This window comes from Homo sapiens, chromosome 4 (genome assembly GCF_000001405.40).
Source record: "Homo sapiens chromosome 4, GRCh38.p14 Primary Assembly".
Taxonomy (NCBI): domain Eukaryota; kingdom Metazoa; phylum Chordata; class Mammalia; order Primates; family Hominidae; genus Homo; species Homo sapiens.
The window spans coordinates 69236362-69253623 of record NC_000004.12 but is presented as its reverse complement, the minus strand read 5'-3'; the positions used below and the strand labels follow the sequence as shown (position 1 = coordinate 69253623).

At 35.5% G+C, this 17262-nt stretch overlaps 1 pseudogene; it reads right to left on the bottom strand.

The window, feature by feature from the left end:
- Positions 1–2512: 2512 nt before the first annotated feature.
- On the bottom strand, positions 2513–11040 carry LOC100533845 (UDP glucuronosyltransferase family 2 member A3 pseudogene; annotated as a pseudogene).

The following is a 17262-nucleotide window of genomic DNA, read 5'->3' as shown; positions in this document are numbered from 1 at the left end:
TCCACATCTCCCAGTCTTTATGCACTGGCTTAGTGTAGTGGAAAACCTTCATCAATCACCCCAGCTAGAGATGCTGGGAGCTTTGCAAACCATTCCAAGAGCTGTATCTTCTCTGGGCTTTTGAATGTAATTACCAAGTTAAATAGGGTTTTTTGTTTGTTTTCAGGATTTTGTAATATTTTGCTTCACCTCTTGTCATTCTGTAGCAATAATGCAGCTCTTCCGGTACTGCCCAAAACTGCCACACTGCCTTTGTTCCCAGGCATTCAAATGCTGGGGTTTCCATAAGTGATTTAAGTTCGGTGACAGAAATCAGACCCTTGGGAAGTCCTCTAAGGAGACAGAACATTAGACCACATTTCACTCTTTTTTCACTCCTGTGGGAAAACTGATGACTAAAGATTTTTTTCCTGATTGTATAATGCTGTACGGGCTAGGGAAGGATCTATAGAGAGTGTATGGTACAATATTTCTTAGATATTAAAACAAAATTCTTCTTGGCTTTGCTCTTTTCTGGGGTGCTGCAACCTTTTCACTGGTTTCTGAGATTATCACCATGGCAATTTGGTCAATATAATGTTGTCAAGTTTCATTCTGCATGGGGGAACAGGGACAGGGCATTCCTACTCTGCCACCTTTAAAACATCAATTTTGCCACCACACCATGTGCAAATTTTAAAGACAATGTGATGAAAATATGGCAATTTGCTGTTAGTTGTTAGGTCTAGAAGAGAGGCTCTAGGTAATTATTAAAAATTCATTGGAGATTTTTCTTTGTTTGCAATAATTGATATAAAAAACAAAAGATGATATTACAAGAAAATTTCTGAAATTAGATGAGATTAAATATTATTTATTTGGTGACTTTGTATCATTTATTTGACTCTTGTTGGATACTTAGAATCTGCTGTTTAATTTATACACTTTAATATTTATTACACACACATATAGGATTATAATTTAATTTACATCTCCTCACACTATGCTCAACCTAAAGTGAACATGGTCCAAAGGTTTGTTAATAACTTAGTAGTCTGAAATGTAGACTATCTATGTTGGGAGCTTCTAGAGAACAAACCTGAGCAGGTTCCTGGTACGAAAGTGGTGGTTAAGATAGAACATATTACAACTACAAGACCAGTTGTATTCTGATTACAACTGATCTGAAAAGGTAATGCCAGATTGATGAAGGAGAGTCTTATGAGCAATAGCTCTTGAGAGGAAGGGAGTCCCATGTACAATGAATGTCCAACCTAAAAAGCCCCAGAGTGTCAGCAGGCTCAACTCCAGAAATGGCTTCCCACCTGTCACAGCATGTTGATCAATTGCTGTATTTAATTTCAGAGAAAAGATGAGGCTTAAACAGATATAATCAGCTTTTCCTAGATTATGATAATATTGTAAAAGTCAAAAACATATCAGTGTAAAAACTTAACAAATTTTAAAAATCTACTAAATAATTTTATTTACATTTAATTGTATACACACGCAATAAAATATTTATTTCTTTTTATATAGTCATTTTAAAATTGGAATTAATTTATAGATATACTTTGTCAACATGTGTAACAATTTCAAAATTTTCAAAAAGCCAGTTGAGCCAATTTATTCATTTAATAAATCAAGTCCTTAAATTAAAATTTAAATAAGCATGTCACTAAGATTATACGACAGTAAACAAAATGAAAAGTGTAACATATTTGCTTAATTAGTGTAAAGATTATTAAACTATATTTAGTGTAGAGCTTTACTTATCTAAATATTTAATATATACTAATATTTGTTAAGCAGGTATTCTAATATCTTAAATTTTTACCATGTAAGCCATTACTTGATGAATTTGCAATTCTCAAATTTTGAGACCGGAAAGCAGTATACTGATCTTACTTTCAGAACAAGCATCTCTTTATTTTTCTACAGTAAATTATACTTTTGATTATAGAGATAAGAATTATGAGTATTCATCATTTTAAAGAATAGACATTTAAATCAAGTGTACTATCAATTAAAATTTTATAAAATCAGAAATTACAATCACATATTTCTAATGGTTACTTATCTCAAAATAATCTGTTTAACTTGAATATCTTATGGACATTTTCTCCATGTAAGAAAATTTCAGTTTCTTTTATTATTTGAGGACAATAATAAGAACTGTCTATTTATCATCAAGAACACACAAAAAATGTCAGTTAAGTGATGGCAGAAATGTAGGCTATGACATCTAGATGAGGTATGTGGAAATATAGCAAACTATTCTGAGTGTAATGCCCTATCGTCATTTTTAGCAATTCATTGTCTGAGATCAGTAATGCTGGGTATGTAGAAGGGCTTATTTAAATTGAAAAAGAAAAATCATTATGTTACTCATAACAAGCTAATGTCATAGAATGCTTCATTGATTTGTGTGGTTTACTGAATTTTGTGAATTTTACATTTTTTACTTCTTTACATCCATGTGTTTGTGCAAACACCAGGAATCAGCATATTGCAGGTCACCCTATCACTTAAGGTTAGAGAAGTAATGACGTCATGGAAACAGTGATATCAGAAATAGGAAAATTTAGATGTATTCATGTCCTTGTGTCACAAAGTGAGAGAAGAGAGTAAGCACACCTAGGAAAATACAATGAAAGAATGAGATATACTCACAAGTTCATGATCGTGGAATTCTAGGCTACTTAGCTAAGATAAAATATCAGAATAGATAATAAGAAAATAGGAAAGTAACATGTTTTCACTAAATTCTTTGTGTCTGGAATTAACAGGATTACCCCATCATGTCTTCTCTAAATTTGGAAAGACCTATTCCCTCTTTTCTATCTTTCTAGTTTTATTAAATTTTTGACAGGAAAATAAACAACATCTTGTGGCCAAGAATATAGCAGTTGACACACAGGCCAGCAGGAACCCAATCACATCTATAGAGTAGTGCTGGAACCAGGTGAGGTCATGGGCAGCTGACCACAGGTGCTTGGCTCCTTTGTGGCACATGACAAACTCGATCCAGAAGTCTGCCTGATCCAGGGGCTTCACAGGCTGATCATGGTGAATTCTTGATAATCTCATAGCATCCTCTTTATAACTGGAAGGCAAAAACACACATAGAACTTAGAAAGTTGTAGTTTTGTTTTCATAAAAGACAGGTAGATAAACTGTAGTATATGTTATGCAAGCCAAAACTTGTTGAATAAAAGATTGATTCCGGTTGTGACATGAACATTATTGGTTGCATAGGATTAAACAGATATAATGCGGAGAGTGAAAAAGAGTACATTTTTAACAAAATGGGGTAAAGCAAAGATGTGAGTAAAACCTGAATAAGCCAGTTATTAATTTAAACTTAATATTTCCATGAAGATTGACACTCTATGAACTATAATTTCCAGAACTATTCCAATACCAAGGTGATGAATGACTTAATATCGAAGGGAAAAATCCCTTAAAATATCTACCAGCATGATATTTAACATTTTCCGACATAATGTATAATATAATCGATGTTAGATCAGTCTTTACAAGCAGTAGTACTTACGAGGAATCGTTAATGACTGTTCTCAAAACCCTGAGTAAATCTTTGCTTGTCATAGTTTTGAAGTTTATTTCTACAGCTGCTCCTTTGGCCTTCATGTGAGCTATGGCATCAAGCTGATCACCAAATAGGGGAACTCCCACCATAGGGACCTCATGGTAAATAGCTTCATAGATCACATTCATTCCTCCATGAGCGATAAAAGCTTTGGTTTGAGGTCACCTAGTATGCAAAATGGATGAGAAATGGTGAGATACTTTATTATGAATTTTTAAAATAATTTCAGGACTAAAGATGGGAATTATGAGATAACTCCCTGAAGCGTACAGTATTTTCTTTAAAAGGAGAGCACATGGAGCTTTGCTACTAAAGATCATTTCTAACTTAAGAAAAAGAGGCATTAATTCCTTCTGCATATCCTATCACTCTCACCTTAACAATAGAAAGTGTGAGTCTATACAATTTTAGTCAATCTTTTAATTATATCTGCTTCAAAAGTGTAAGTAAAATAAAGTTTTATAATTTTAAATATTTGCTGAATTTGCTCACTGTTTAACATTTATTCATCTTTTCCTCATCTAGTTCATATTTTTACTTTCTCATAGTCCTACCAAGAAGATCATTCTGGGGTATCCCATCATACAGCCGAGTATTGGTTCCTAATGTGGATGGTTTTTTTTCCATTGTATCTCTATAACACCTATGGAAGAAACACATGTATTTCACAGATTGAACCACAGGATATTAGCACTCTAAGGATGTAGATATAGTTATAAATTATAAACTCATTGTACTTCAGGTGTTGGTTGAGACAGGGGTATGTAGAGGTACTGTGTAAACAGTAAAAGACATAGTAGGACTTTTTACAAAAGTCCTTTCAAATAATGTGTACCAGTTGACTATTAAGTATACTATTATTATTTTAATATCAATTAAAATATCTGAGTATGAGAATATCAGTGAATCATTAAAAAGTAATTCAGCACTGGCTACTCAATTTTCTTATAAGAATAAAATATTTTATAAGTACATGATCTCTGTGTCATTTCAAATCATGGAACTATTCTGGTTCTACCATCAAATTTACAGTTCCCCACAGATAAAATTTGCTTTCAATTTTGTGTGTGTTTTGGATAATCGGTTATCTTTTCTTCTCTATTTCCTTCCTGACCTTTGTCTTCTTATATTTATTTGTTTTATTGAAGACGAATGAGCTAGAGAATTACCTATGTTCCATTGTTCTATGATAAATTTTCTTTGGGATTGTGTCTTTTTTTTCCATAATTTTGATTTGTGGGAACTTATAAAAAAATTCATACATTTGAAAAGAAAGGATGGCACAGATGTTTCAAACTACTTAACAGATAATTTCTTAATTAAAATTATGAGATTTCACATTCCTAATTAGTATATTTGCCTTTATTGTGTTTGATGTATTTTAGCTAAATATGAAATAAAACATCTTTTGGATAGTTTATATATAGCACTACCTAAAGTGTGAAATTCTAGAATTACAGTAATAAAGTTAAAATCAGTTAAGTATTATAAATAATTACATAACTGAAATAATTAAGTTACTATAATATAATTGTAATTGACATTTAACTTTGGAAGAAAGCTCTAATTATCGAGAAAGACTACATTAATCTGAGCTTTTATTTCTATGCAAAAGTACCCTGAATACAGTTTTTATGCACTCAAATATGAGAAGGATATTCTTGAGATTGATTCTTCTTTTTCTTTTTTATATCAGTTTTCCTTTTTCTGGCCCTTGGAAATAATACATGTCAGAACTTTTTTGGAATAGTTGGCACATGCCTTTAGATTTCAAATTCTAAAATATGATGTAGGGGCTTGATTTTTTATTTCTATTTTATTATAAATGAACGACAATCAAGAGAGTTGTTTCCAGTAACAACAGCAAGACTGAGTAGGGCAAAAGCCATACTTTCTCATTATGTGAATAGCTGCTTATCAGGAATGGAGGTTTTACTGACCTTCTGTGGGATCTGGGCAAGGGCTGAAGCAATGATATTAGCCTTTTCTTCTATAACATTTGGAAACAGTGACCCCAGAGAAAACAACCCAATATCATCTTCCCCTGAACTCTGGACAACATTTTCCATTTCCGGAAGATAAAAATTTATCTGCATTACAGAGGGGTAATATAACAAAGATTAAAGTAAAGGTTACTTACATTTCTAAAATAAAGAGTTGAGAAATTATTACTGTATAGTTGTATTCTATTCTTATGTTCTGACACACAGAACCATGTAGTCTCTTTATAAGAAAGTCTATGTGTAAAACATATGGCTTAAATACATAATCATTCATTACTAGAAAAGGCACACAATCAAACAGTATATGAAAAGTTTCAGTGACAAGAGTACTTTTCATGTCTGTGTCATGTAGACACAGAATCCTAAAAACAAAATAATTTACTAACATTTACAAATATTATTTGAGGAGTGACATCAGCAAGATGGTGGAATAGAAGACGTCCAGCATCAATCCCTCTTAAAAGTACAACTAGCAACTATTCAAATATAAAAATACCACTCTGAATGCACCAGAGCTCAGGAGAAAAGTGAAAAATCTTATAGGTTCATGGAAATTAAAAAATCCATGACCAGAAAGAAGAAAGGTCATTTGTGCTGCGTCACCCCATTCTCCAAAGCAAAATAGCACCACTCCCAGAAAACTTCCCTGTACCTGCAATTACACAGGTGGAAGAAAATAATTGCAGGTGGACACTAAATCCCCATATGAGTGTGTGAATCACTGTGAGAAGCCTTCTTTGTTCCATCCCACAGGAGGTATTAGGAGCGTCAGAAGGGCTGAACCACCTGGGTTGAATTGGAAGCAAAGAGCAGAAGCACTAATCACGGCAAATGGCAAACAGATCTTGGCAGATGCTTTGCGGTCCTATCAGCAGGGAACTCACACTGATGGGGGCCTAGCCAGCACTACAATAGTACAGGAGGCACAATCCGAGGGAAAGCTAGAATCTTTGGTCAGATTTTACAAATATCCCAGGTGATCATACAGAGCCTTTCTCTGACCCAGAAACAACTATCAGGTTAGTAACTAAGTTCCAGTTATTTCTTAAGCCTTCCCCAACCCAGAAATTACTACAGGTTTGAGTTTAAGTTCTGGCACAACATTATCTTTTTATCACCATGATAAGTCTTCCTCAGACAGGAAAACAATAGCATGGAAGAGATTTAGCTCTGGTGCACTATTTAGGTTCTGTTATCAACTATAAGCTCTCCTCAGAACAGAAAGCATCCTCAGGGCAGCGATTCAAATACAACATTTGAGAATGAAATCAGAAAAATAAAAAATGAAATCCTTGAAATGCAAGATAAAAATTGTTAAACTAAAAACTCACTAGAAATCTTTAACAGCAGACTTGATCAAACAGGAGAGAATCAGTAAGCTCAAAGAAAACATGCAATTACCCAATCAGAGGAATAGAAGAAAAAAGAAATAGTGGCGTTCACAGAAATTATATGACACTATGAAGGGAAATACTGCCATATAATATAAATTTCTAAAGGATATGAGATAGAAAAGAAAGGCCTAGAAAACATACTCAAGATAATAAAGACTCAACATTTTCCAAATTTGGAGAAAGACAATAATATCTGGGAACAGTTAGCTTAGACATCACCCAACAAATTCAACCCAAAAAGTAATTCCCAAAGGTACATTATAATCAAATTACCAAAACTCAAAGAACAAAAAGAATATTGAAAGCAGTAGGAGAGAGAGAAAAACAAAACAAAACAACAACAACAAAACATAACACTTTCAATAGTGGTCCCGAACTGTTTTCAGTGAATTTCCCAGGAAAAACAAACAAACAAACAAACAAACAAAAATCTTTCAGGACAGAAGAGAGTGGGATAATATAGTCAAAATGCTGAAGTAAACAGAAATTTGTAAAACTTTTAATCCAAGAATACTGTACTCTTCAATGAACTTCTTCATATATGAAGAAGTTCATCAAAGAACTTATTCATATATGAAGCCAATACATGATAAACACACAGCTACTACCATCATACTGAGCAGGGAAAGTAGAAAGCTTTCTTTTTTTTCCTAAGATCTGGAAAAAGATAAAGATGCATACTTTCTCCACTCTTATCCAACCTAATACTGAAACGTCTAGCCAGAGTAATTAACCAAGAGAAAGAAATGAAGCACATACAAATCGGAAAGGAAGAAATCAAATAGTTCCTCTTTGCAGATGACATGAACTTATAAAGAGAGAAAACTAAATACTCCATGAAAACACAACATAATGATTGATAAAAAAAATTCAGAAAACTTTTTGAAAAAAAATTATCATACAAAAATTGGTATTATTCTGTACGGAAATAGCTATCTGCAAAAAATTAGAAAAACAATTTCATTTAATATAGCTATAGAATAAAACCCCTAAGAATATGTTTAACCAAGGAGGTATAAAATATCTAGAATGAATATTATAAAACAAGGATGAAAGAAATTTAAAAAGACACAATAATTAGATACATCATGTTCATGAATTGGAAGAATTTGTATTATTAAAATGTACATAGTACCCAAAGGAAACTGCAGATTCTTAACAATCTCTATCAGAATACCATGACATTCTAAACAGAAATGGGGAAAAGCTTTTTTTAAAATTTGTACAGAACTGCAAAAGACCAAGGCCAAAGCAACCTTGACCAAAAAGAACAAAACTGGAGGCATCACACTACCTGATTTCAAAATATATCACCTAGAGGGCTCCCGTTCCAAGATGGCTAGATGCGACCAGCTCCGGTCTGCAGCTCCCACCATGATTGACACAGAAGATGGTTGATTTCTGCATTTCCAACTGAGGTACGTGGTTCATCTCATCGGGAATAGTTGGACAGTGGGTGCAGTAGCCCAAGGAAGACCAGCCGAAGCATGGCGGGGCGTCACCTGAGCTGGGAAGTGCAAGGGCTGGGGAGATTTTCCTTTCCTAGCTGAGAGCCCATGACAGACTGTACCTGGAAAAATGGGACACTGTTGCCCAACTACCGGGATTCTCCCATGGTCTTAGCAACCAACAGACCAGGAAATTATCTCTGGTGCCTGGCTCAGGCATCCCATGCCCACGGAGCCTTGCTCACTGCTAGTGCAGCAGTCTGAGATTGACCTGCCAGGCGGCAGCCTGGCGAGGGGAGGGGCATTCACCATTGCTGAGGCTTGAGTAGGTAAACAAAGTGGCCAGGAAGCTTGAACTGGGTGGAGCCCATTGCAGCTCAGCAAGGCCTACTGCCTCTATAGACTCCACCTCTGTGGGCAGGGCATAGCTGAACAAAAGGCAGCAGAAACTTCTGAGACTTAAATATCCCTGTGTGACAGCTCTGGAGAGAGCAGTGGTTCTCCCCACAGAGGGTTTGAACTCTTGAGAATGGACAGACTGCTCTTCAAGTGGGTCCCTGAACCCCGTGTAACCTAACTGGAAGACACCTCCCAGTAGGGGCTGACAGAAACCTCATAAAGGTGGATGCAGTTAGTACACACACAACATTTATAATTAAGTTTGCTGTTTTATATCAGAAGAGCTCAAGGTGCCCCAAAGCTAGTAAACATGGAACCATCAAAGATCACTGATCTCAGATCACCATAACAGATATAATAATGAAAAATTTGAAAAAGCATGATAAATGCCAATATGTGATACAGAGTCAAAAAGTACACACTTGCTGTTGGAAATATTATGCCAAATTGATTTGCTTCATTCAGGGTTTTCAAAAACACTTAATTTGTATATTACAATTTCTGTGAAGCACAGTAAAGCAAAGTATAATAAAATGAAATATGCCTATACATAAGAACATATGGAAATAAAATGGTAAGCTAGGCAGAGCTTACTGAAAACAAAATTAATTAGGGCAAATCAATACATGTAAATTCAAATCATGTCTAAGGCTAAGGACATTTGAAGTGGGATCCTCTGAATATTAGTTCTGTGAAACAGTCTATGTATTGGAATTCAGTGGAATATATTAAACAATATTTTTAGAGTCTATTATGATTGTTCCTTTGTTCATGTTTCTACATATTTCTCAAACAGAGTTGGATCAAAAACATGTCTTTCATTGACCAGCGCTGGTCACAACTGTTTATGAAAATTGTAAAGCAAAACAACTTTTTGTCAGTAAAGCAAAGAAATAAAAATAAGTAAAATGGATATAAATCAGTAAAGTAAAAATTCTATCCCATGCCCCACAAGACCGAAAGTCATTTAACTTTTTATAATATTTTTTCAAGTTTTTGTGAAGTAATCAACTAAGAAATTAGAGAATTCTAGAAAATGTTTCCATTTAACCACTCTTGAAAAAATAATTCAAAGAGGACTTTCTGAAGATTTTTTTTTGAAATTTTTGATGAGAGAGAAAAGAACGATCAGCATCTTGTTTCAATAGAAATGGTATAACATTCAAAGTAACAATAAATAATTCTCAAAAATATGAGATGTAGATTTGGGCTATTTGGAGGAAAAACAAAATATAATCTCCTTGTTAATGATGATCATTTGTAGGTTTATTACTGGTATTAAGGAAGTAGGTTACCTTACACTTAGAACAAATCTACTTTCTTTATGAAGAACAGCTACAACATTTTCTATAATAAAAACTCATTAACCTGCATATATGTGTCATAGACGATGTATGGCAATTTTTAAAAATATTTATTTTGATAATTAAAAATAAAACAAGAATCTCTTACCTAATGCCTTACTCTAAAACTCTTCCCAAAAATGATGGTCATAATCCTGAATCCAGAAGTGGAAGAAAACTGAAAGCATTGGATTTTTCAATCTTTCCTGAAAGGTCATTCTGTCTGTTAGTCCTGTCATAGGCACAGGTACATAGGAAAGTGGAGCTGGAAGTTTCCCACAGCTTTGTTCCATATTGCCTCTTAGAGAAGTTCTAAGTGTGAGCACAAAAGGGACTGCAAGCAACTCAGCCATCAGGTCTCCACGGGGAATCACAGGGTCTATGAGTGCTACATCGTAGTTGGTTTCCTGTAGCTTCTTCATAAGTGTCTGATTGTAGATAATGCTCTCACACATCATTTTTGAAGTTCCTCATTTCAACAAAAAACATTTAATTTTATGACTGATTGCCACGCTGGTAAGCCTGGGAAGACATTCAGAGCTAGGTCAACAAATATTTCATTTTCTTCTGTTTTATCCTATGGCATATGGACCACCTCAAATTTCAGTGCAGAAGGCTTCCTGTAATCAATTAACAAAGACTTTGAGTGAGTCAATACTGTTACCTCATGGCTCCTCACTATGATCTCCTCTAGAATGACCTTGACATTAAGCCAATGGCTCATGTCACAGGGCCACACCAGGACCTTCTCCCAGAATCCACAGCCATCACAGAAGAGTTGCAGGAGCAGAAATACCAAAGCTGACTTCTTGGGCCTCATGATGACATTTCCCTCACACAATGATCTGCAATAGTTTTGTAGTTACTAAGCATGAAATTGAAATGACAATATAAGCACAGAAGTTAAAAATTAATATTTTAAGAGTAAATAAACTTCATTGGTTGGTTGCCAGCTTCACATTTATTGAAGATATCAAAAAGAAATGCAATGTTGCAATGTATCAGGGAAAATTTGTTCCAACCTTCTAGAGCTTAGAAATAAAACACATAAAGATACTTTTATTATCTGGATTGATGATAAAGAAATTTTTTTTAAATTCTTTAGATTTAATAATTCATGTGCAGAAACATATGCACACAACCGCACTTACATTCATTCCACACTAAATCCAAGGTGCCAGATTGTTTAGAAGAACTCATGTTTCACATCCTTTGCTCACAAGGACAATACAAAGAATTACTGGGAATACACTTGGAGACATAGGTAACTATTTTTATTAATTTTATATAATAAGTGCAAAGTGTTCAGTATTTCAGAGGAGAAAAATGCACAATTGCTTTAATATCTGATAATTAATAAAAGCTTTAGTAAGACATTTGACTTAGGAGGTGAGATGAAAGCTTCATTAGGATTTATTGTTGTCAAAGGAAGCATTTCACAATCAATAGAAGCATGACGAAAGTATAGGATATTTAAAAGTCATTCTAGTGAGAAGTGACCACAGAGAAAGTTCAGGGCAGGATGTTACAGAACAAAGTCAGTTTGAAATAGGAGAAATTAGTTTTAAATAAACAATTATTAGTTTGAATGATAATTTATGGGCAAATTATTATTTACTCAAGTTTTAAAGGACAGTCGCAAGATCAAGCTTTTCTTTAGCAAGAAATTCTTGCATCTCAACATAGAGTGATATGTAAAGATAAGAGTTTAAAAACAGGGAAAATGATAAAAATTGTATATTAGTTACTGAGACATGTCAACCTTATGGAATAAAACATAAATTGTTAATAGTAAATGTGAGAAATTAATTTGAAATTTGTATTTACTGATAATATCTGAGACAGGAAAAAATGTATAGGAGAAAATACACGGTTTTGGTTTCTGTGTTAATAAGCAGAAGGCTAATAATGACATTAGGTAAAATATTATCATTATGTTCTAATTATTCAACAACTCTATGTAGATGTAAACCAAAAATAAAATTTTAAGCATCCCCAACCACCTAAATGGACCCTTACTCTCAGCAAAGAGCATTTCAAACTTAATCTGAAAAACTGGTTCAGACAATGATGGGAAGTGGGGTGGTGGGATAGGACATGCCTCATTATACCCTCCTCCCTTTTTGAATTCAGGAAAATCTTACAAGCACTACCATCAACACAGACCTTAAAGACCTTAAAGACAATAGAACAGACTCATTACATTTGATAAGAAACATTTACAATCTATATTCTCTCAAGCCTGTTGCCTGACCGCTTTATCTGCATGATAAAACCTTGGTATTCACAGCCCCTTATCTTAACCTAGACATTCTTGTCTATTAATTCTATATCTTTAGACAACAATATAACTCAACCAATTGCCAATAGAAAATCCTCGAATTAGCCTATGACCTGGAAACCCCTGCTCTCAGTTGTCCTGCCTATTCAGACCAAGTCAATGTATAACTTACATGTATTGATTGATGACTAATATCTCTGTAAATTGTATAAAACTAAGCTGTAGCCTGAGCGCTATGGGGAAATGTTCTTAGGATCTCCTGAGGGTTATGTCGCAGGCCATCATTGACTCATATTTGGCTCAGAATAAAACTCTTTAAATATTTTAAAATGTTTGACTCTTTTCATCATAACAACTTGACATTTGAACATGTGGGGCCTCAGACAAAACTCAGGACACCATAAAACGTGCCTGAACTTGAAGCTAAGGTAGCAACAGAGGCCCACTGAATGCCTCTCCAATTTTGAGCTTCTTCTCCAGTGGGACTGGTAAGTCCTCTTGAGCTCTGGACCTCCCTTTGGTTGATAGTCTTTGGTTTATTCTGAATTTTTTTTTCTCCTGGGAGGTTGTCTTTTAGAATCTTAATTATAGTTCAGGAGTACATTCTAAAGGGTCCTCTCCATTGCCTTTTCTCCCAAAGATAAGCTCAAATGGCTTGTCTGCACATTTGCTTGAGGAACTGAACTATTATTTTTGTAGATCAGTGAGAGATGAGAGACTGACCTCCTCAGCAATGAAGAGAAAGGACGTTTTGCTCCTCCAAGCCAAAGGGGCCTATTTGGAATGTCTAGGGTGTTAAACCTTCACCATACAGAGTCGCCAAACAGAGAACCCCCCCAACACAATGAGTTTAAAAAATTCATCTAGCAAATGTATGTAAGAGCTGATCACTCAGTGTTTGGAGCCCTCATGGAGGTGATACACATATGGAGAGAGAAATTAATGAGAAGAGAAAATAAGGAACCAGTTAGGCAGATAGTTAGGGCAAGGTTCTTGGTAGAAGCCCTCCCCCAAAAATAACAGTCTGGAGGAAATCAAACTGCAAGCGCAGGTAAGGAAGCAAAGTCCAAAAATAAGTCTGGAGGAAATCAAACTGCAAGCACAGGTAAGGAAGCAAAGTCCAAAGCCTTTGTCTTCTGTGCAACCAGTGAGCTCTGCCTATACACGATGGCCTTCAGTGAGCACATTCCTTTTCTTTTTGGTCATACTCAGATAAAGGAACTTGCACAGGGTGCTTTCCTAAGACAGACCTGTAGCTGTATAGATAAGGAAAGTTACACAGAACAAGACACATCCGCAGTGAAACAGAGTCAATAAGCAAAATAAAACAACATGCAGTAATTCAGGCTAAGGACCTGCATGCACACTAGAGGGAAGAGTTGGAGCTAACAAGAATTTGTATGTATGCAAATAAGACATCCAGTCCTAACCGGGTTTTCATGACTTATGCACATGAAACACTCTGCCTCATTAGCTTTTATTTTTGTATATAAAAGTCTGCATTCAACTGTGAAATGACAACGCTCTCGGGCTTCCTCTTCACAGTAGATAGCTTTTCTCTTTTGCTTATTAAACTTCTCTTCCAACATTACCATTGGTGTCCACAATCCTTAATTGTTTGGGTCTTGAGACAAAGAACTCCTGGTGATACCTCATACAACAAGACTGCTCCAGTGACCCTAGGCTGCTTCACTGTGAAAAGTAAATTAGAAGTTCCTTTTCAAAGACTTTCCTCCCCATCTAATCAAGAATAAATAGTAACTTCTCTTAGAAGCAAAATTTATTCAGAGAAGTGTGCTGCACTTTTAAATATCTGCTAGCTGTAATAAAGAAATCTATGTACTTTATGTTCTTAGCTCCTACAATGTAGCGTAAATATTTACTCTGGAATGCTTATATTGACCAAAGCAAGCATTAGGATATAGTCTGTTCCTCTTCCTTATTTGAAGGTATTTTTTTTTTAGGGGTGAGAGATAGGTCATTTACTTTTGTCTTTTATATTTTTATTTTTTTAAATTTATTTTTTTTTTATTTTTTAAATTATAATTTAAGTTCTAGGGCACATGTGCACAACGTGCAGGTTTGTTACATATGTATATATGTGCCATGTTGGTGTGCTGCACCTGTTAGCTGCACCCGTTAACTCGTCATTTACATTAGGTATATCTCCTAATGCTACCACTCCCTCCTCCCCCGACTCCACTAACTACAGGCTCTAGTGCGTGATGTTCCCTGTGTCCAAGTGTTCTCCTTGTTCAATTCCCACCTATGTGTGAGAATATGCATTGTTTGGTTTTCTGTCCTTGCGATAGTTTGCTCAGAATAGTGTTTTCCAGCTTCATCCATGTCCTTGCAAATGACATGAACTCATCATTTTTTATGGCTGCATAGTATTCCATGGTGTATATGTGCCACATTTTCTTAGCCCAGTCTATCATTGATGGACATTTGAGTTGGTTCCAAGTCTTTGCTATTGTGAATAGCACCACAGTAAACATACGTGTGCATGTGTCTTTAAAGCAGCGTGATTTATAATCCTTTGGGCATATACCCAGTAATGGGATGGCTGGGTCAAATGGTATTTCTAGTTGTAGATCCTTGAGGAATTGCAACACTGTCTTGCACAATGGTTGAACTAGTTTACAGTCCCACCAACAGTGTAAAAGAGTTCCTATTTCTCCACATCCTCTCCAGCACCTGTTGTTTCCTGACTTTTTAAGGATTGCCTTTCTAACTGTTGTGAGATGGTATCCAATTGTGGTTTTTGATTTGCATTTCTCTGATGGCCCGTGATGATGAGCATTTTTTCTTGTGTCTTTTAGCTGCATAAATGTCTTCTTTTGAGAAGTGTCTGTTCATATCCTCTGCCCACTTTTTGATGGGGTGATTTGATTTCTTCTTGTAAATTTGTTTAAGTTCTTTGTAGATTCTGGATATTAGCTCTTTGTCAGATGGGTAGATTGTAGAAATTTTCTCCCATTCTCTCAGTTGCCTGTTCACTCTGATGGTAGTTTCTTTTGCTGTGCAGAAGCTCTTTAGTTTAATTACATCCCATTTGTCAACTGTGGCTTTTGTTGCCATTGCTTTTGGTGTTTTAGTCATGAAGTCCTTTCCCATGCTTATGTCCTGAATGGTATTGCCTAGGTTTTCATCTAGGGTTTTTATGGTTTTAGGTCTAACATTTAAGTTTTTAGTCCATCTTGAATTAATTTTTGTATAAGGTGTAAGGAAGGGATCCAGTTTCAGCTTTCTACGTATGGCTAGCCAGTTTTCCCAGCACCATTTATTAAATAGGTAATCCTTTCCCCATTTCTTGTTTTTGTCAGGCTTGCCAAGATGAGATGGCAGTAGATGTGTGGTATTACTTCTGAGGGTTCTGTTCTGTTCCATTGGTCTGTATCTCTGTTTTGGTACCAGTACCATGCTGTTTTGGTAACTGTAGCCTTGTAGTATAGTTTGGAGTCAGGTAGCGTGATGCCTCCAGCTTTGTTCTTTTGGCTTAGGATTGTCTTGGCAATGCCGGCTCCTTTTTGCTTCCATGTGAACTTTAAAGTAGTTTTTTCCAATTCTGTGAAGAAAGTCATTGGTAGCTTGATGGGGATGGCATTGAATCAATAAATTACTTTGGGCAGTATGGCCATTTTCACAATATTGATTCTTCATATTCATGAGCATGGAATGTTCTTCCATTTGTTTGTGTCCTCTTTTATTTCATTGAGCAGTTGTTTGTAGTTCTCCTTGAAGAGGTCCTTCACATCCCTTGTAGGTTGGATTCCTAACTATTTTATTCTCTTTGAAGCAATTGTGAATGGGAATTCAGTCATGATTTGGCTCTCTGTCTGTTATTGCTGTATAAGAATGCTTATGATTTTTGTACATTGATTTTATATCCTGAGACTTTACTGAAGTTGTTTACCAGCTTAAGGAGATTTTAGGTGAGACAATGGGGTTTTCTAGATACAGAATCATGTCATCTGCAAACAGGGACAATTTGACTTCCTCTTTTCCTAATTGAATACCCTTTATTTCCTTCTGCTGCCTAATTGCCCTGGCCAGAATTTCCAACACTATGTTGAATAGGAGTGGTGAGAGAGGGCATCCCTGTCTTGTGCCAGTTTTCAAAGGGAGTGCTTCCAGTTTTTGCCCATTCAGTATGATATTGGCTGTGGGTTTGTCATAGATAGCTCTTATTATTTTGAGATACGTCCCATCAACACCTAATTTATTGAGAGTTTTTAGCATGAAGGGTTGTTGAATTTTGTCAAAGGCCTTTTCTGCATCTATTGAGATAATCATGTGGTTTTTGTCTTCGGTTCTGTTTATATGCTGGATTACATTTATTGATTTGCGTATATTGAACCAGGCTTGCATCCCAGGGATGAAGCCCACTTGATCATGGTGGATAAGCTTTTTGATGTGCCGCTGGATTTGGTTTGCCAGTATTTTATTGAGGATTTTTGCATCAATGTTCATCAAGGATATTGGTCTAAAATTCTCTTTTTTGGTTGTGTCTCTGCCCAGCTGTGGTATCAGGATGATGCTGGCCTCATAAAATGAGTTAGGGAGGATTCCCTCTTTTTCTATTGATTGGAATATTTTCAGAAGGAATGGTACCAGTTCCTCATTGTACTTCTGGTAGAATTCGGCTGTGAATCCATGTGGTCCTGGACTCTTTCTTGTTGGTAAGCTATTGATTATTGCCACAATTTCAGATCCTGTTATTGGTCTAATCAGAGATTCAACTTCTTCCTGGTTTAGTCTTGGGAGTGTGTATGCGTTGAGGAATTTATCCATTTCTTCTAGAT